The sequence below is a fragment of the Homo sapiens genome, chromosome X, assembly GCF_000001405.40.
Source record: "Homo sapiens chromosome X, GRCh38.p14 Primary Assembly".
In the NCBI taxonomy this organism is placed as follows: domain Eukaryota; kingdom Metazoa; phylum Chordata; class Mammalia; order Primates; family Hominidae; genus Homo; species Homo sapiens.
Genome location: NC_000023.11, coordinates 136,410,674 through 136,428,838, shown reverse-complemented (window position 1 = coordinate 136,428,838; position 18,165 = coordinate 136,410,674). Strand labels below are relative to the sequence as shown.

At 41.0% G+C, this 18,165-nt stretch overlaps 1 protein-coding gene across 4 annotated transcripts in view; it reads right to left on the bottom strand.

The window, feature by feature from the left end:
• ADGRG4 (adhesion G protein-coupled receptor G4) overlaps nt 11,949-18,165 on the bottom strand; it is a 115,928-nt gene continuing 109,711 nt past the window's right edge. For 3 of the 4 annotated variants that reach the window (XM_011531269.3, XM_047441830.1, XM_011531271.3), the window contains 3 exons: nt 16,473-16,574; nt 14,512-14,679; nt 12,277-12,385 (listed from right to left, as the gene is read on the bottom strand). In XM_011531269.3, coding sequence (XP_011529571.1) covers nt 12,348-12,385; nt 14,512-14,679; nt 16,473-16,574 — 308 coding nt within the window. In that variant the 3' untranslated portion in view covers nt 12,277-12,347. Of the gene's footprint in view, nt 12,386-14,511; nt 14,680-16,472; nt 16,575-18,165 lie in introns of all 4 variants that reach the window. The other variant, NM_153834.4, reaches the window with a different exon arrangement.

The following is an 18,165-nucleotide window of genomic DNA, read 5'->3' as shown; positions in this document are numbered from 1 at the left end:
AACATTATTATTATTATTATGACTGACTTGTTTATTAGATTTTTAAAATCTGTTGAAGTGTACTAACAAAAAGTCTAGTACTCAACATTGTGTCATAGGTTTATTTTTGTTTGTTTTTTGTTTTGTTTTGAGATGGAGTCTCACTCTGCCACCCAGGCTGGAATGCAGTGGTGCCATCTCAGCTCACCACAACCTCCGCCACCAGGGTTCAAGTAATTCTCCTGCCTTGGCCTCCCGAGTAGCTGGGGTTACAGGCATGTGCCACCATGTCCGGCTAAATTTTTTTCTGTATTTTTAGTAGAGACGGGGTTTCACCATGTTGGCCAGGCTGGTCTCGAACTCCCGACCTCAAGTGATCAACCCACCTCAGCCTCCCAAAATGCTGGGATTACAGGCATGAGCCACCAGGCCTGGCCAATGTAATAGGTTTAAAAAATTGTTGAGCACCCTTGGCATCAGGTAAGCTTTACTGACTTTAACCACCCTTCCGCCATGTAGGCCAGGCAGGACGACACACCTTTTTCCTGCTTTTATTTCTAAATTTAAAAAATTATGAATGAAGCAGAAACCACAGAATGGAGTTTAATTCATTTAAGAAGCAAACAACAACAACAACACAACCACAAAGCCAGTGAGAATCTCCCTGAATGAGTATGCATGGTACACAGGGGAAAGAGTAGTAGACGCCAGGAGACATCCAGGTTTTGCAACTAAATGTGTGACTTTAGCCAGGTCATTTTCCTTCTCAGGGCCTCAGTTTCCTCATTCATAAAATAAGTGGTGGGGTAAAAACAAAAAATAGAACTGGCATGTGATCCAGCAATACCACTGCTTGGTATATATCCACTAGAAATGAAATCAGTATGTTGAAGAGATACCTGCATTCCCATGTTCATTGCAGCATTATTTACAATAGCTAAGATGTGGGATCAACCTAAGCATTCATCAACAGATAAATGGATAAAGAAAACGTAGTGTATATACACAGGGGGATATTATTAGGCCTTAAAAAGAAAAAACTCTGCCATTTGTGACAGCATGGACGAACCTGGAGACATTATGGTAAGTGAAATAAGCCAGACACAGAAAGACAAATATTGCATGATATCACTTATATGTAGGATCTAACGAGTAAAAGGGTTTGCTACCTGGGGGTAATCTAGGGATAGACTGGGTTGGAGAAATGGGGAGATGTTGGTTAAAGGATACACATTTTCAGTTATAAGATAAATAAGTTCTGGGGATCTGTTGTACAGCATGGTGACTATAGGTAAGAATACCATATTGTATACTTGAAATTTGATAAAAGAGTAGACTTTAAGAGTAGATCTTAACTATCTTGCCACACAAAAAAGTTAACTGTGTAAGATGATGGGTATGTTAATTAGCTTGATTGTGGAGATCATTTTACAATGTATACATATATTGAAACATCACATTGCATACCTTGAATATATACAATTTTGATTTATCAATTATCCCTCAATAAAGCTGCAAAGAAAACCCACAAATGATGAGGTGAGGGGCAGCCCTAGATAACCTGCACACTGTCCTCCAACACTGATCCTATGTGGGCCAATTGTTATGGGTTGAAGATAAAGATGTTGCTTGAAACAAAATGTACAAGAGGTTAGAAAAGCATTTCAACTCATTTATTTCTGTATTTAGTTAGTGCCTTAGGTGCAGAGGGTTGAGTTAATCAAACTCAGCTCATGGCACATTTATCATCATTGGTAACTTGCTTGATTTATTTACTCCCTGTCATCCCCACACTTCACTCAAATTCTCCTTCCTCCCTCATTAGCAACTATTGTCTTCTGCTTAAGATATTTTTGTTTGCATGTGTTGTTACAAAATGTGTATTATCAGTTTGAAAGAATGTCTTTTGAAATTTCTGTAAACTGTGTATTGTGGTATTGTGTTATATATATATTATTCTGCTTCTTGCTATTCTTTTTTTTTTTTTTTACCCAGCACTGTGTTTTAAAAATCTATACATGTTTCTCTATGTACAACTAATCTCTTATTTCCAATTGCTGCAAACTACTTGAGAACGTGTATCCACCACATTTGCCTCTCCACTCTCTTGGTGATGGATGCCGGATTGCCTTCAACTCTCTGTCACCATAAATATTGCTGCAATGAGAAGCATTCCATTTTAAAAAGAATTGTAGGTGAGGGTGCGAATAGGGAGCTGCCTCTGAGCTGTGACTAGAATGATGAAATGCTACTGTTAGGGTTTCCTTTTCTCCAGCATGCTGCAGAACCTTGGGTAATGGAATTAAATCCAAATGCTTCAGCTGGGGCAGTAATCAGAAGTTGGGCTCTTGTGTCAAGTAATTGTGCCACTATGTTTTCTTCACTGAATTGACTAGTTATTTGAATCAGTTAACCCATTTGATGAGGGATTTTGACACTGTGTAAATGCTCCACCTCTGCCCTCTCTCCCAGGGGATGATCCCACACAATCCCCCCAAATTATGCAGACTATAGTCTCTCACCTCAAGTGGATCTTTAAGGAGACCTACAAATTTTTCTGTTTTGCTACTTAGCTCTTCCTCCTGTTCTCTATAGCAGCTATTTTAAACCTTCTCCATCTTATCAGTCTCTTCTCACTCTCAGCAGGTTGCCTCACCTCCTACTTCACAGAGAAAATAGAAGCTATCAGATGAGAGCTCCCTTAAATTCCGATTACCAAATCTATATATTTGCCTGCGTCCACACCCACCCTTGCCACCTTCCTTCCTGTTACAGTGGAGTGCCTCACCTTCTAAGAGGAATCCTTCCATCTGTGCCATGGATCCCATCCCTTCCTTCCTTGTTCTACTGGCTAAATTATGTCCCCCCTCAATATTTCAACCTCTATATTTCTGCTAGGTACTTCCCTTAACCATGTAAATGTGTTCATCTCTCTCTTATCTTAATACTACATTTTAAAAAACTTTCTCAACCTCAGTCTCCTCCAGTGACCTCCACCCCTCCACCAACTTTTGCAACTTAGTGGCTACGTTTATTCAAAGAGCTACATTGCCCTCTTCTCCTTCCTCACTGCTCAACCTCTTGGATCTCACTAAAGTTTCCTTGGCTTACATGGGACCTCATATTTCTGGTTTCCTTCCTACCTCTCCAACCATTCCTTCAGGATGTCCCTTGCAGGATGATCCGCCTATGCCTGGCCCTCAGTGCTCCTCATTTCTGGGCCTACTTGCTTCCATTCTTCCTCCGTGTACTCCCCCTTGGGAATCGCATTCACTCCTAAGGTGGCTTCAATTACCATTGATATTGCCAAAATCTCCATTTCCATCCCTAACCACTCTTCTCTCCTCCAGACTTACATATCCAACTCCCTTCTAGACATCTCCACCTGAATGTCCCACAGGCATCTCAAAACCAGATGTCCAAGACTGAATTTATCATCTTTGTCAACAAAAACCCTTTGATCATTTTCACTGTTACATCTCAGGGAAATTCATCACACTGCATATATTCCTATTATTACTAAACTTTTAAACTACAAAAGTTATAGATACTCTATAAAAATTCAACATATACAGAAGTATGTAAAATACAAAGTGAAAGCCTCATCAATACTTCTCCCCAGAGGTAAACCACTATCAACAATGAGGAGTGTGTCCTTACTTTTTTCTGTATAACTATGGACATGCATGCACACACAAAGTTTTGTTTTTACACATACTTTATCATGCTACATGTACTGTCATGCAAATTTCTTTATGGCAGAAAAATATATTGTGGATATATTTGTATTATTAATCAAATTGGTATAGCTTCTTCTTAGCTGCATATTATTCCATACTATATATAGCCCACATTTATTTAACCCTTCTGATATTGAAAAGCTTTAGCTTATTTCCAGTTTTCACTATTTCAGGGTTGCACTGAATAACCTTGCCCATAAATTTTTGAATTGTTGAGCTAGGATAGAATGCTATAAGTGGAATTTCTGAGCTAAGTTTATATACACTGAAGTTTGGATAGACATTGCTAAAGTGTGCTCAATAGCTTGAATGGGGTTTTCCCTCTACTTTTCAACTGAGAGACAGCATACTACAATAAGATGCATAAAGTACATTATTTTAAGTGTGCAACTGAATGAACTTTTATATGTGTACTTAGCTATGAAAGCACCATTTCCGGCCTCCCAGAAGGCTCCCCCCGGCTTTTTTTGTGTTTTGTTTTTGTTTTTTTTTGTTTTTTTTTTTTTTTTTGAGATGGAGTCTCGCACTGTTGCCTGGGCTGGTGTGCAATGGCGTGATCTCGGCTCATTGCAACCTCCGCCTCCTGGGTTCAAGCGATTCTCCTGCCTCAGCCTCCTGAGTAGCAGGGATTACAGGCACCCACCACCATGGCCGGCTAATTTTTTGTATTTTTAGTGGAGATGGAGCTTCACTACGTTGGCCAGGCTGGTCTCAAACCCCTGACCTCGTGATCTGCCCACCTCAGCCTCCCAGAGTGCTGGGATTACAGGCGTGAGCCACCACGCCTGGCCAGAAGGCTATCTTTAAACCTTCCCAGTACAGACTTCTCCCTGAGAGATCACCACTATTCCAATTTCTATAATCATCGATTGTTTTTGTCTGCTCATATAAATGAAATTGTACCGTCAAAGAAGCCAGACTCATTTGTGTCTGGTTTCTTTGACTCAACATGTTTTATATTTATCCATGTTGTCGTGTGTGTGCATAGTTCATTTTTTACTGTTATATAGTATTCCATTGGATGAATGTCCCACAATTTGTTTATCCATTCACCTGCTGATGGACGTTTTGGTTGTTTCCACCATGTTGGCTGTTATGAATAATGTGGCTATGAACATTTGTGTGCAAATATTTGGTTGACACGTTTGCATTTCTCTAGGGTGTATATGCCCAGGAGAATTGCTGGGTCATAGGGTGTGTTTAACTTTCTTAGAAACTACAGAACAGTTTTCCAAACAGGCTATACCTGTTTGCCCTTCTGCCAGTTGTATAAATTGAAACTTCCTAGCATATGAAAGTATCAAATAGTGTATTGTTACTGCACACTTGTCTCCCCAGACAAGTTTAGGAACTGTCTTGTTCAGTACATCAAGTATAGTGGATTCTCAATAAATATTTGTGGAATTGGACTAGTAATTAAGTAGTTACTATTTGTTATGCTTCAAGGTCTCTACCACACAATTTTAAGAATTAACATATGTTACTGTGGACAAACTGTTGTAGGTATGGATGTTTTATTACACGAAGGACAGCCCATTTTTATGTGTGTAGGACTGTGGCCTTTACTTCATTGTATCCTCTACGGAGCTTAGCATAGAAATGGGCACAGAGGAAGTGCCCATAATGACTAGCATGCTGGACTTAGAGAGCTACCAGATTCAAAGACTGCCAAGCCTCTCTGAAACCTTTACCTGCTCATATTTCTAGACTCAGGTCTAAAGGAGGCAGAGAGAAGAGAAAAATTCTCTTCTATCCCTCACTATCTGCACTGTCACCAGCCCCAGTTTCTTAGGTTTTTAACTATAGATAGATAGTTTTCAACTTAAAAATGTTAGCCAGCTCATTCATCTATCTATCTGTAATTAGAAACCTAACTGTCTATCTATAGTTAGTTACTATCTATCTATAGTTAGAAACCTAAGAAACCTGATTTCTCAGGTCCACTAAAGACCCAGATCATGCAGGGTAGGAAAGAGCGATCCATGATAAAGTATATCTTTATGTCTCTCCTTCTGAAAGGGCCAGTGCATGAAGATTTGATATAGCCCGTTACACTAGGTCTTTATTCTTCCCCTGTAACTGTCTCTAAAATTCTCCATTCCTCTTGGAATTTGTGAGCTGAGGATGTAAAAAAGAAAAAAATCTTTCTTGCATGAACTAGGCCTTCATCAAAATTCACTCCAACTCAGATTCATTTCCATTTCTAGTCCCATTGCTGCCCACAACCAACTGAGCATGATGAATGAGTTGGCTAACATTTTGAAGGTGAAAACTGTCTATCTACTCATCTAACCATCTATCTAGCATGTCCCCGGATTTGAGTGTCTTCACTTTATTAAGGTAGCATATCCTTCAATCTTGCCTCCCCTCACATCTAAGTGAAGGAGATGTAAACAACAATCCTTACCCTTGTTTCTATGATGAATTCTAGGTTAACATAAGTAAGTCTTAGCAAACTTGGGAATCTGCCAGTCCCAACTTTTTGTTTAATTTACATAATCATTTGCATAGGACTGCATATATTAAGGAAACATCTGTACTTTTCTTACGCATTTAGATGAGATGAAATTTTTTCAGTATTTGAAGTTACTACTTAATATTGATTTCTTCTGCCTCTCCCTTTTTAGGAATCTCACTTTGTGAACATAATGCCATTAGCCTGGTGAGGTGGAGAATGGAAGTAACACTCCTCCTAGCTTTCCTTCTCAGACAACAGAGCACTCCTTAATCAGAGCTGAAAGGTCCTGGAAGTTGGGATCAAAATATATTTTCAAATATTTAAGGGAACTCATAAAAAGCTTTATGGTGAAGCACCTTCAAAAAGTGTAATTAAAAAAATGCCCTTTCAAGTGCAAAGACATAAAGGTATACTTTATAATGAATCACACTTTCCCAGCCTGCATGATCCGGGTCTTTATTGGGCTTAAGTAATTAGGGTGCAGAATGGAGGTTTGGGGAATATTTCCTAGTATTGGGGCTGAAGAGGTGCTTGTCTGGAGAGACATGGCAAGGTGACAACGTAGACAAACAATAAAGCTCATTTTAATACATTGGCTTTCCTTAGAGTGAGGCCAACTTCTGTACCCAGTATCTCTAAAGATCACCTTTTCTAACAGCACTCTTATCTATCATTCTGGGACGCTTATCTTTAACACTTCAGCTCTCTCAGCACATCCTGATTCACTTTAGTCTTAAAACGTAACTAGTGAATACCTATGTGTCTGGAATTGGTTCCTTCTGCTGCGTTCTTGGTCTCACTGACTTCCAGAATGAAGCCGGCGACCCTCCCAGTGAGTGTTACAGTTCTTAAAGATGGTGTGTCCGGAGTTTGTTCATTCAGATGTTCAGCTGTGTCTGGAGTTTCATCCTTCTGGTGGGTTCGTGGTCTCGCTGACTTCAAGAGTGGAGCCGCAGACCTTCCCCCTGAGTGTTACAGCTCTTAAAGATGGCGCTTCAGGAGTTGTTTGTTCCTCCCGGGGGCTTCGTGGTCTCACTGGCTTCAGGAGGGAAGCTGCAGACGTTCGCAGTGAGTGTTACAGCTCTTAAAGGTAGTGCGGACCCAAAAACTGAGCAGCAGTAAGATTCATTGCTAAGAGCAAAGAACAAAACTCCCACAGCGTGGAAGGGAACCCGAGTGGATTGCCACTGCCGGCTCGGGTGGACAGCTTTTATTCCCTTATTTGGCCCCGCCCACATCCTACTGATTGGTCTATTTTACAGAGTGCTGATTGGTCCATTTTACAGAGTACTGATTGGTCCGTTTTTACAGAGTGCTGATTGGTGCATTTACAAACCTTTAGCTAGACACAGAGCGCTGATTGGTGTGTTTTTACAGAGTACTGATTGGTGTGTTTACAAACCTTTAGCTAGACACAGAGCACTGATTGGTGCGTTTTTACAGAGTGCTGATTGGTGTGTTTACAAACCTTTAACTAGACAGAAAAGTTCTCCAAGTCCTCACTCGACCCAGGAAGTCCAGCTGGCTTCACCTCTCACCTGAATGAGGCCTCAGGGTAGGGGAGAGATCTATTCTTCTTAGCACTATCCCACCCTCACTGAAGAAGGATGCTACTGAATTAGTTATCATTCAACCAAAGTATATCCACTTCTATATTGTGTGAGGTGAACATGTGGGGTTTTTTCCTACCTACTCATTCATTCCTAACACCCTACTTTCTTTTTGTAGAATGACTTCTTCCCCATTGTGGATATTCTTGGTGGGATGGTAAATTCATACTTCTACCACTATCAAAACCAAAGTGCTCCTGAAGATTTTTTCTGCCACATCCTTCCTCTCACTGCTCAGTATAGCACAAAATTTAAGCTCAGCTGATTAGATACAGGCTCACAGGATTTTGAGTCTTAAGCTAGTAGTATGAGCATAGAAATTACTGTTTATTCTTCCCAGTAATGGCGCCCGCATGAGTCTACTTCCCTGTTAGGAGACAATCACTATGGTTCCTGCTTTGTAGACTCCTGTCCTTTTTCAAGCCCTGTTCTTTTTTCTTCTTTCTTTTTTTAAAACGTTTAAGTTCAGTGGTACAAGTGCAGACTTGTTACACAGGTAACCTTGTGTCATGGGGGTTTGTTGTACAGATTATTTCATCACCTAGGTATTAAGCCTAGTACCCATTAATTGTTTTTCCTGATCCTCTCCCTCCCCCCACCCTCCACCCTCTGCAAGGCCCCGGTGTGTATTGTTCTTCTCTATGTGTCCATGTGTTCTCATCATTTAGCTCTCACTTATAAGTGAGAACATGCAGTATTTGGTTTTCTGTTCCTGCATTAGTTTGCTAAGGATAATGTCCTCCAGCTTCACCCATGTCCCTGCAGAGGACATGATCTCCTTCTTTTTTGTGGCTGCGTAGTATTCCACGGTGTCTATGTACCACATTTTCTTTATCCAGTCTATCACTGATGGGCATTTGGGTTGATTCCTCTCTTTGTGAAGAGTGCTGCAATGAACATATGCATGCATGGGTCTTTATAATAGAATGATTTATATTTCTTTGGGTATATACCATTTGGCTTGCTGGGTCAAATGGTAGCTCTGTCTTTAGGTCTTTGAGGAATCTTCACACTGTCTTCCACAATGTCTAGACCTCTTCTTTAACTTTCCCATAAATGTTTTGAATTCCCAAAACACTTTCAACAAGTCCCCTTGGTTAGTCAGAACTGACAATAATGTCAGCTCAAAGACATTTGGTTTATGTGGCTGGCAACCAAAGAACCTAGAGTAAAACATTGTGCTAGGTACTGAGAGTACAATGGTAAAAAATACAAACAAGGTTCTTGCCCTAATGGAGTTTATATAATAATGGAAAGCGTAGGTCTACTCAGCACTAAGATAACAAACCCTAGATTAGGAAAAGTCAGCCATTGCTTTCCTATGCTCATGTATTTTAGACCATTTATGCACTCAGGCATGTGACAAATATTTATGGAGTGTCTATGAGTTACCAGACATTATAAGTATAAATTTAATCCATTCCACTGGTTTTGCCTAATCAAGACAGGTATAATTAGGTCCTTCCTTCGTTGCTCCAAGCTCCTTGTGTACCCTAAATGCTTGAAGGTCAGGACCAGAAACACATCATAGGCTTGAGCTATTAGAGATACAAGCCTTACCTCCTCTTAGCTTTCTGCCCCCTCCCCAACCTTCCCATATTCCTGGGTACAGGGGAAGTGGGCCATCACAGATGGTCACTGTCATCTTTGGGACTTTGGACAAAATGATAAGGATTAGGATTCTGCGCAGGAGCTTCCTCAGACATGCCTCAGAGAGAGTTTAGTACCATTCAGTGTTTGCCACTTGCCCACAGGGTACCCAGGGTGCAGCAGAGAATGAAAAGTCCATGCCCTGAGGTTCCAGGGGGCTTTGTAAATTTGCTGATCAATGCTTAATAAAGACAATTTGCCTGTGGTATTGAGAAATAGAGTCCTGTCTTATTCAAATGTCCACCCCCGCCACCATTGGCCCCACCTGGAATACCCTACTCTCAGCCTGACTAAATCCTCTGTGACTTCCTACCTGTAAAGCACTTTCTTCTATCATATCCTTGCTCTAATCATTCACTATTCCAGTGTATGCATCTGGTCTCCCCAAGTATACAGTAAACTGCTGGAGGTAGTGGCCTAAGTATGATGTGTCTATATCTTTCCCTCCATGTCAGGACTCTGTGAATACTTGGGAGTTGATTGTTGATTGAAAGCAGTCCAAAGTTTCTAGGGTCTTTTTTCCATAATTACTTGGGTCCACCTTCACACAAGTATCAGTCATTTTGTGCGCCCAGGAAAAGCAAGCCAAAGGATGCCAGTAAGATATTTAATCAGTGTTTTCCCTGCAATTTCAAACTGCCTTTGAAATTGCAGAAAGCCTGTGTTTTCCTAATTAGCAAGGGGTGTCATGATAGGAATCATGAACTTTTCTATCAAATAACGTTTCTGTTCTCGACAGTCTGTCAGGTCATTAGAGATAGGCTGTACATTTATCACTCCAGCAGCAGCAGAACAATCAAGGTTTTATTACTTGTTGAAAATAAATACAATCATGGGCATTTTAACAGCCAAAATGATCCCCCAAATCAAATCACTTGCAAAATGCATTTATTTGTAAAAGTGCTAATTGCAACCAAGTCTTGTCCTTAAATCTATTTTTGAGTGAAAGTGACTTAATATTTCGGTTCAAAGACATGTAACATTCAAGACACTTTGATCATTATTCATGTTAGTCCCTTCACACACACGGACACACACACACACACACACACACACTCACTCACCTTTCCCTACCAAAAAAGTACACATGGAGCCACATGGGGAACAATGGATTTGACTCTGATGGCAGATATTCGGGGGCCTAAGGGCCAACCTAATTTTTATATTATGTGAGGTGTTAGGGGGAACAATGGAGACCTAGGAGTTTTATACCAGTGACTGGCACCAGTGCTGTAGTCTGTTTGGTAGTCAGCATTAAATTTTGCTTAGAAGATCAATGTGATACCTTTAATGGGGTAGACATGGTAGGTTGGGGCCATGAGGGGATGAGTGGTAAGCTGATTGGGGTTTGAAAGAGAAAGGAGTGAAGATATACTGTGTTACACTGTGCTAGAACATTTTCAGACCTCATCTTATTTCAGTTTCACTTCAATTTTAGGATGCATGCATGATCATTATTACATCACGAGGTCGCACATCTAGAAAGTGACAGAGCTGGGATTTGAACCCAATTCTGCTGTCTCCACAGCCCACTGCATCATATATATTCACAAGGGTCCTGGGGAACTTGATTTTTGGTATTGAAATGTAGGTGTTTATCTTTCTCACTGGAAGGGTCTGGTTATCCTTATTTATTTATGTATTCATTTATTTATTGCTCCAAGCAGTAATATATTCTCTCAATACAAGATTCAAAAGATACAAAGAGGTATAGGGTGAAAAGTAAATGTCTCTTCCTCCTCTGCCCCCAGACACCCTGTTACCCTTCCTGAAGGCAACCACTGATACCAGTTGCTTGTGTATCCTTCCAGAATGTTCCTCCTTTACTTATTTCTATCCAAGGACAAATGTGAGCAGCACACCTGACTGGGAAGCCACAGAAGGCAAAGCTGGCAAAATTCGTCTTCATTGATCACTCTGTTGCCTTTGGGTGGCCCTTTTTGCACTCCATCCCTCTACTGTTCTGCTCACCCCAACCTGGCCTTTCCTTCCTAGAGAGAACCACCAGCTTTGAACAGTTTCTGTTCTGTTTTATTCCTCAGGACCCTGCTTGCTATTCCTTGAAGGGCTGTATTGGCTGAAAAATTCATCCTTACTAAGGAATTTATGGGTGTCTGTGGATTGATGACCCACCCTTTCCACAAAACATGTTTACATTTTAATAAGAGCTTCAATCAAAAGTGTGAGTTGAATAATGGGGATCTCAGGTGCTTTGTCATGACAGGCCAACAGGGCAGAGTATTTTTCCAAAATGTATGACCTTGTGGCTCTTCCTATCTACTTCCTCTGTGGGTTTCAGGCCAACTGGGCATCCTGAAACTTTGACCACCTGAAATTGTTTGGCTCCCATGGCAGGGAAGTAAGGATCCTGGTCTTGATTTTTATTTTTTTAAGGATGTGTATACTTAAAGCTTTTAAAACAAAATTTCCAATGCTGTAGAAATTTCTCCTCTAATATATCATAACAATAACCTGAAATCTTATCCAAAAAAGAAATAAGTATAACGACAAATAGGAGAATTATTCTGACTTTAATATTTATCAAATGTTATTCTTCCCCTTACAAAATAATAATTAAAATAGAAGGTTGGAGCAGATTGTTTCACAAATTCAACCTTTTCCCCAATCAGGGGTTGGGAGGAGGCAAGTATCTCTACTGGGATTTATTGAAAAATTCTGTTTGTGAATGGAATTCATTTTGGGATTTTTGTTTTGCTTTTTATTTTTGTTTTTTTTAAATTTCCATAGGTTTTGGTGGAACAGGTAGCATTTGGTTACATGAGTACATTATTTAGTGGTGATTTGTGAGATTTTGGTGCACCCATCACCCGAGCAAGTATACACTTGGAATTCATTTTTATTTCCACAGGTATTATATTCTTTTTACATAATTAGGCACAACTTCACAAATCAAGGAGAGGAACAGTAAGGATCTTTGTCAAAGTCATCTGCAGTAAAGAAAAAAAGAAAATTTTCAGCTGCGGCATCAGGGACTTTGCACATAGTAGAAGCATAAGAAAATTTTATCAAATGAAGGAAAAAATAAAGCAATTAGAAGAGAAGGGAAGGATATGGTGCTTTCTTTGGACTGTTTTATATAAAATCCGGGGTGAATTAATTCATCCTGACAGCACTGTTTGGACAACCAGTGCATATGTTCTTCCTACATTGTGAATAAGAGGCAGCATTATTGACCTTAACCTTAACCTAGGAGAGGATATTTATGTACAAACTCGGAGGCCTTCAAGAGAAGATGACATAAAATGTGAACATACACATTTATACCCCTTACATATTTGATATTCTTGCACTGAAAGTTTGGCTATTTCTCAAGCTTGAGAATGCCTGGTGGTACAGAGGGCATGATTTTTCACTCTCTGCTAATAGAATCAAGCTTCTGGCTGTCACTAGTACAATGGAAGGACCCAGATTTCAGTTTTAGAACCTGTGGCAGGTCTACCTGCCCCACTGGCTCAGTTCCTCTCAACTGATGAGCACTTTAATGTTGGTTTTCCAGGTCGATTGCTTGGTAAGACAACATCAATATCCTGGATATGGTATTTGCTACTGATCCTCTGAAGCAAAATATGTACACATTGGGCTGTATATTTGCTAATTAAATAGTCCCCAGGGACATCAAGAAATCCAATGCTAAATAACCCTCTTGAAAAATGTTATTTTCCAACCAGCCCCAACTATTATCTACTAAGGAGCTCCCACAACCCATGCCTTGTCTATGTCATGGCACCCCAGTGACTTTATATGAGCACCAAGACATATCCACAGGTTACTTGGCCAGAGTTTGATAAATGCTTGTGGCCAGGGAAAGGTTTTTCTCATGTGCATCACTAACTTTCCCACACAAAGATGGGAGACTGAGATGCTATACACTAGTCAACCAGCCCAAACTGGAAAATAGCGTTGCCCCATACACGGTCCTGAAACTGGCAGGCACTTAAGAGATTATCCATTCTAGTCCCCTCATATGAAAGGTAGAAAGAATGTAGCTCCAAGCAGAGAAGTGATGTGCTCAAGGTCACAGAGTGACTGACAGAGCTGGAACCTGAACCAAAGCCTTCCAACTCCAAGTTTGATGCTTTTTTAACCCACCATGCTGCTTCCAGATTGCCTTCAGCCCTTGGACATAGAACTGGTTTTTGGAGCCAACATAAAGAAAAATACTAGCGAATGAGGCAGTCCTACCTCCAGCACTGAGAAGGCAGGAGAATGACTACAGCCAGGCCACCAAAGTGTGTGTGAACTGGAGTATACTTTGGTCTTAAAGAAAGGCAACCAAAGACCACTGCACTATCATCTAACTAGAAGCACACAATGCAGACTCATCACAGTATCATCCTGAAGTTCTTAAGTTCTTGCTCACTTTGCCTTTCTCTTTACTTTAAGCCTGTAGGCCAATCCTTTTCCTACACTTTCTCTTTTTACATAATTAGGTACAACACCCCATTCCCAACTGAACATCTGTCTCAGCTTAGAAATATGGCTTCCTATGGAAGAAGCTCAGCATCTAAGAGTGATGTGTATCTCTGTTTTCTTGATAGGACTAGCCCTGAGAGCCAGAAGACCTGAATTCTGGCCCCAGTTCTGCTGGATGGCTGAGGGCTGAGTGACTGGCCCCAGTTCTACTGGATGGTAAAGATGGGCTCAGTGACTGTCAATAAGGCATTTTCCTTTTCTCTGATTGAGGTTCCTCAACTGTAAAATGAACGGATTGGACTAGACAATGTCTAAGGTTCCTTCTGGTTTTAATGGTCTGTGACAATTGTTTTTAATTACTCATGAATTTTCTAACCTCTCATCTCTTCTTTCCTCTATTAGTCTAATAACACATTCATACTTACTAAATTTACTAGGCACAGAAACACCTATACACACTTCTGTACACATTTCTATGCTTCTATACACACTTTCTCAGCCAAGAATGAGTCGAGGTATACACATGCACATGTGCATTTAGTTTTGAAGAGGAAGTATCATCCAAGACCCAGTATGTGGTCTCACATTAATTCAATATCTCTGGAATATAAATGTAGACAACACAGCCTTTTTTTCTTACCATTTGGAAAGCTTATTTCTGAAGGTGTGCCTTGTGCAGAGCCTAAAGATTTGAAAGTGGAGCTAGTTGCAGTTGACTTGAGAGATGGCGTCAACAGTTTGTGCTCAAAGATTTTCTTTAGTCCCTCCTGTTTATATCCAACCTTTATCTGACACCGGCTGCTCCCATCTGAAATGATACCAAGAAAAGTTAAAAATATAAAACTCATGAAATTCTATACTTAAAGTAGTGAATTGTATGGTATATAAATTACACTTCAATAACCTGGTTTAAAAATACAAAGTTTAGGCCAGGCGCAGTGGCTCACGCCTGTAATTCCAGCACTTTGGGAGGCCGAGGCGGGCGGATCACCTGAGGTCGGGAGTTCAAGACCAGCCTGACCAACATGGAGAAACCCGGTCTCTACTAAAAAATACAAAATTAGCCGGGCGGGGTGGCGCATGCCTGTAATCCCAGCTACTCTGGAGGCTGAGGCAGGAGAATCACTTGAACCCGGGAGGCGGAAGTTGCGGTGAGCCGAGATGGCACCATTGCACTCCAGCCTGGGCAACAAGAGCGAGACTCTGTCTCAAAAAAAAAAACAAAAACAAAAACAAAAACAAAAAAACAAAGCTTGATGCACAGTGTTCATTCCGGGTACCTGAAGGAGTCAGCTTTTCTATGAAGTTGTAAGAAGTAGGTTTGTACTGTAATGTGTGGTATAGGAAGAGACAATTCACATACCAAGGATGCCTGCTTTTCCCAGAGCACAAGGACCAGCAGGTTGCTGATATGGCCAGCATAAAGTGGGGAATGGGGTTGTTTGTTTTTTTCTCGTAAATTTGTTTGAGTTCATTGTAGATTCTGGCTGGATTAAGAAAATGTGGCACATATACACCATGGAATACTATGCAGCCATAAAAAATGATGAGTTCATGTCCTTTGTAGGGACATGGATGAAATTGGAAATCATCATTCTCAGTAAACTATCGCAAGAACAAAAAACCAAACACCTCATATTCTCACTCATAGGTGGGAATTGAACAATGAGATCACGTGGACACAGGAAGGGGAATATCACACTCTGGGGACTGTTGTGGGGTGCGGGGAGGGGGGAGGGATAGCATCGGGAGATATACCTAATGCTAGATGACGAGTTAGTGGGTGCAGCACACCAGCATGGCACATGTATACATATGTAACTAACCTGCACAATGTGCACATGTACCCTAAAACTTAAAGTATAATAAAAAAAATAAATAAATAAAATAAAATACTGGAAGAAAAAAAATAAAATAAAGTGGGGAATGGGGGGAATCTCAGTGCTACTTGTAGAATCTTAGAGTTCAAGTGCTGCCTTCACTAAAGAAAATGGATTAGGCTTTGTATTGAGACTGAGAGAAGCTGCCTGAATTGAATGGAAGATCCTTTTGATACATAGAACAGCAGTTTGCCTGCAGTGGAAACATTCTCAAGGGAAGCACCAGTGCTAAGAGGCAACATCTGAGTTCACTACATCCCCCAGTTCGTGGGCCATCAGTACACCTGTACAGCCCACTGGCCAGGCATCTTAGGAATGTTTATAAGTTCTCTCCATCTCCACCACCACTCCTTGCTTCCTACATCCACTCAACCCACTGTTGGCTACCAGCCAGAAGCCCCTGAGACCCAGTGCCTGGAACACAGTAGGCACGCATTCAGTGTTCTTTTAATTGAATTGAGACTGATGTGACAGTGAAGGTAAGCAATCCAGGGAATCTGGGCCAAAACAAAAGCATCCCTAGTTTAAAATATGGCCCAAGTCACATTCTTCACTTGACTTCACTCATCTCAGCTCAAAAGCACAAATCATTTTTATGACATGGAAACAGCCTGTGTTTTGATGCTGATATGCTGTAAGTACTCAAGTTAGGAGACAAATTAATCTGATCAGTTTTGTAAAACATGTAATATTCAAAACTTCATCCAAACTGACATCTTACCAGAAGAGTTATCCAATCGCAACCACCCACAGCAGAGGTGTATCTGCCACTGCTCCCGCACACTCTCCTTCATCACACAGTGAAACACAAAAATGAAGAATCCTAAGCCAGAAGAAGAAGGTCAGTCTTTTTTGGTTTCTTTCACCAGCTGTCACCAATGCCCTGACTCAGGCCTGCTTCTGTCATGAGAGATACTACTTTCAAGGAACCCCAGGGCCATTACTGGCTTTCTGATCTTGTCTTTGTAGACTCCCTCCCAAAGGCAAAAATGTCTATATCAAGACTTCATGTCAACCACTGTTTTGCCCCTGGACTGCTGTTCATCCTAGAGTGTGAGAGGTAAGGTAGCCCCTCTCTGAGATTGCTCTCAATGATCCCCACATCCTGGCATTGACATCCTTGTGTAGTTTACTTCCACATTGTACCAATAGAATATAGCAGAAGGGATGGCATGTCACTTCCAAGGTTAGGTTATAAAAGAGCGAGCCCTCTCTCATCACTCTGAAGGAAGCCAAGTATTTTGTCCTGAGGACATCCTGGCATCCCTGTGGAGAGGCCCACATGGTGAGGAACTGAGGCTTCCAGTCCACAACCATGTGGATGAGCCTTCCTGGAAGCACATTCCCCAGCCCCAGTCAAGTTTTCAGATCACTGCAGGCCCAGATGACAGCTTGACTACAACTTCACGACAGTCCCTGAGTCAGAAACACCCAGCTAAGCTGCCCCTGAATTCCTGATCCTCAGACACTGTGTGAAATAATAAATTTTTGTTGTTTTAGGCTGGTAAAAATTGTTAATGTGTTATATAGCAATAAATAACTATTACACATGCTTTTTGGCATAATGACACCATGTGGAAACCATGGATTTGACCCTCAACTTCTAATGCCAGCCCTGATTTTGTCCTGCAAGGGGGAGGGAAGGGCTGAAAGTCTTTGCCAGCAGTGCTGGCCATTTCTCATTCCCACCCTCTAAAATATGTCCTTGGAAGATAAAAATATGACTTAAGATTATCTTGGCCAGGCGTGATGTCTCACGCCTGTAATCCCAGCATTTTGGGAGGCAGAGGCAGGTGGATCACTTGAAGTCAGTAGTTCAAGACCAACTTGGTCAACACAGAGAAACCCCATCTCTATTAAAAATACAAAAATTAGCTGGGTGTGGTGGCACATGTCTGTAATCCCGTCTACTTGGGAGGCTGAGAATCACTTGAACCCAGGAGGCGGAGGTTGCAGTGAGTCAGAATCAAGCCACTACACTCCAGCCTGGGTGATAGAGCAAGACTCTGTCTTAAAAAAAAAATTATCTTGATTGCAAATTCCCTGGAGGACCAATTAGATTTCCTGCAGTTGGGGGTAGGATTGGCAGAAATAACTCCTGTCAATAGCCTGACTTATATTTATGTTCCATTACAAAAAGTCTTTATCCACAAAATCTTTCCAGATGCCTCAAACTGAAACTCATTTTTCCCACTTCTGAACTCTCATAACATTTTGTTTCTTGTATTATTTGCTATATGTAGCCATACAATTATTCGTCTATTTCCCATTTCTCCACCTAGCTGTTGAGTCTTTGAGGGCCGAGATATGTTTCCTTTTCATATTTATGTCATTTTGCCCTTTGTCTTTGATACACTAAGTGCGGCCGCTCAATAAATGTATGTTGATTTGAACTCCAAGACACTTGATACACA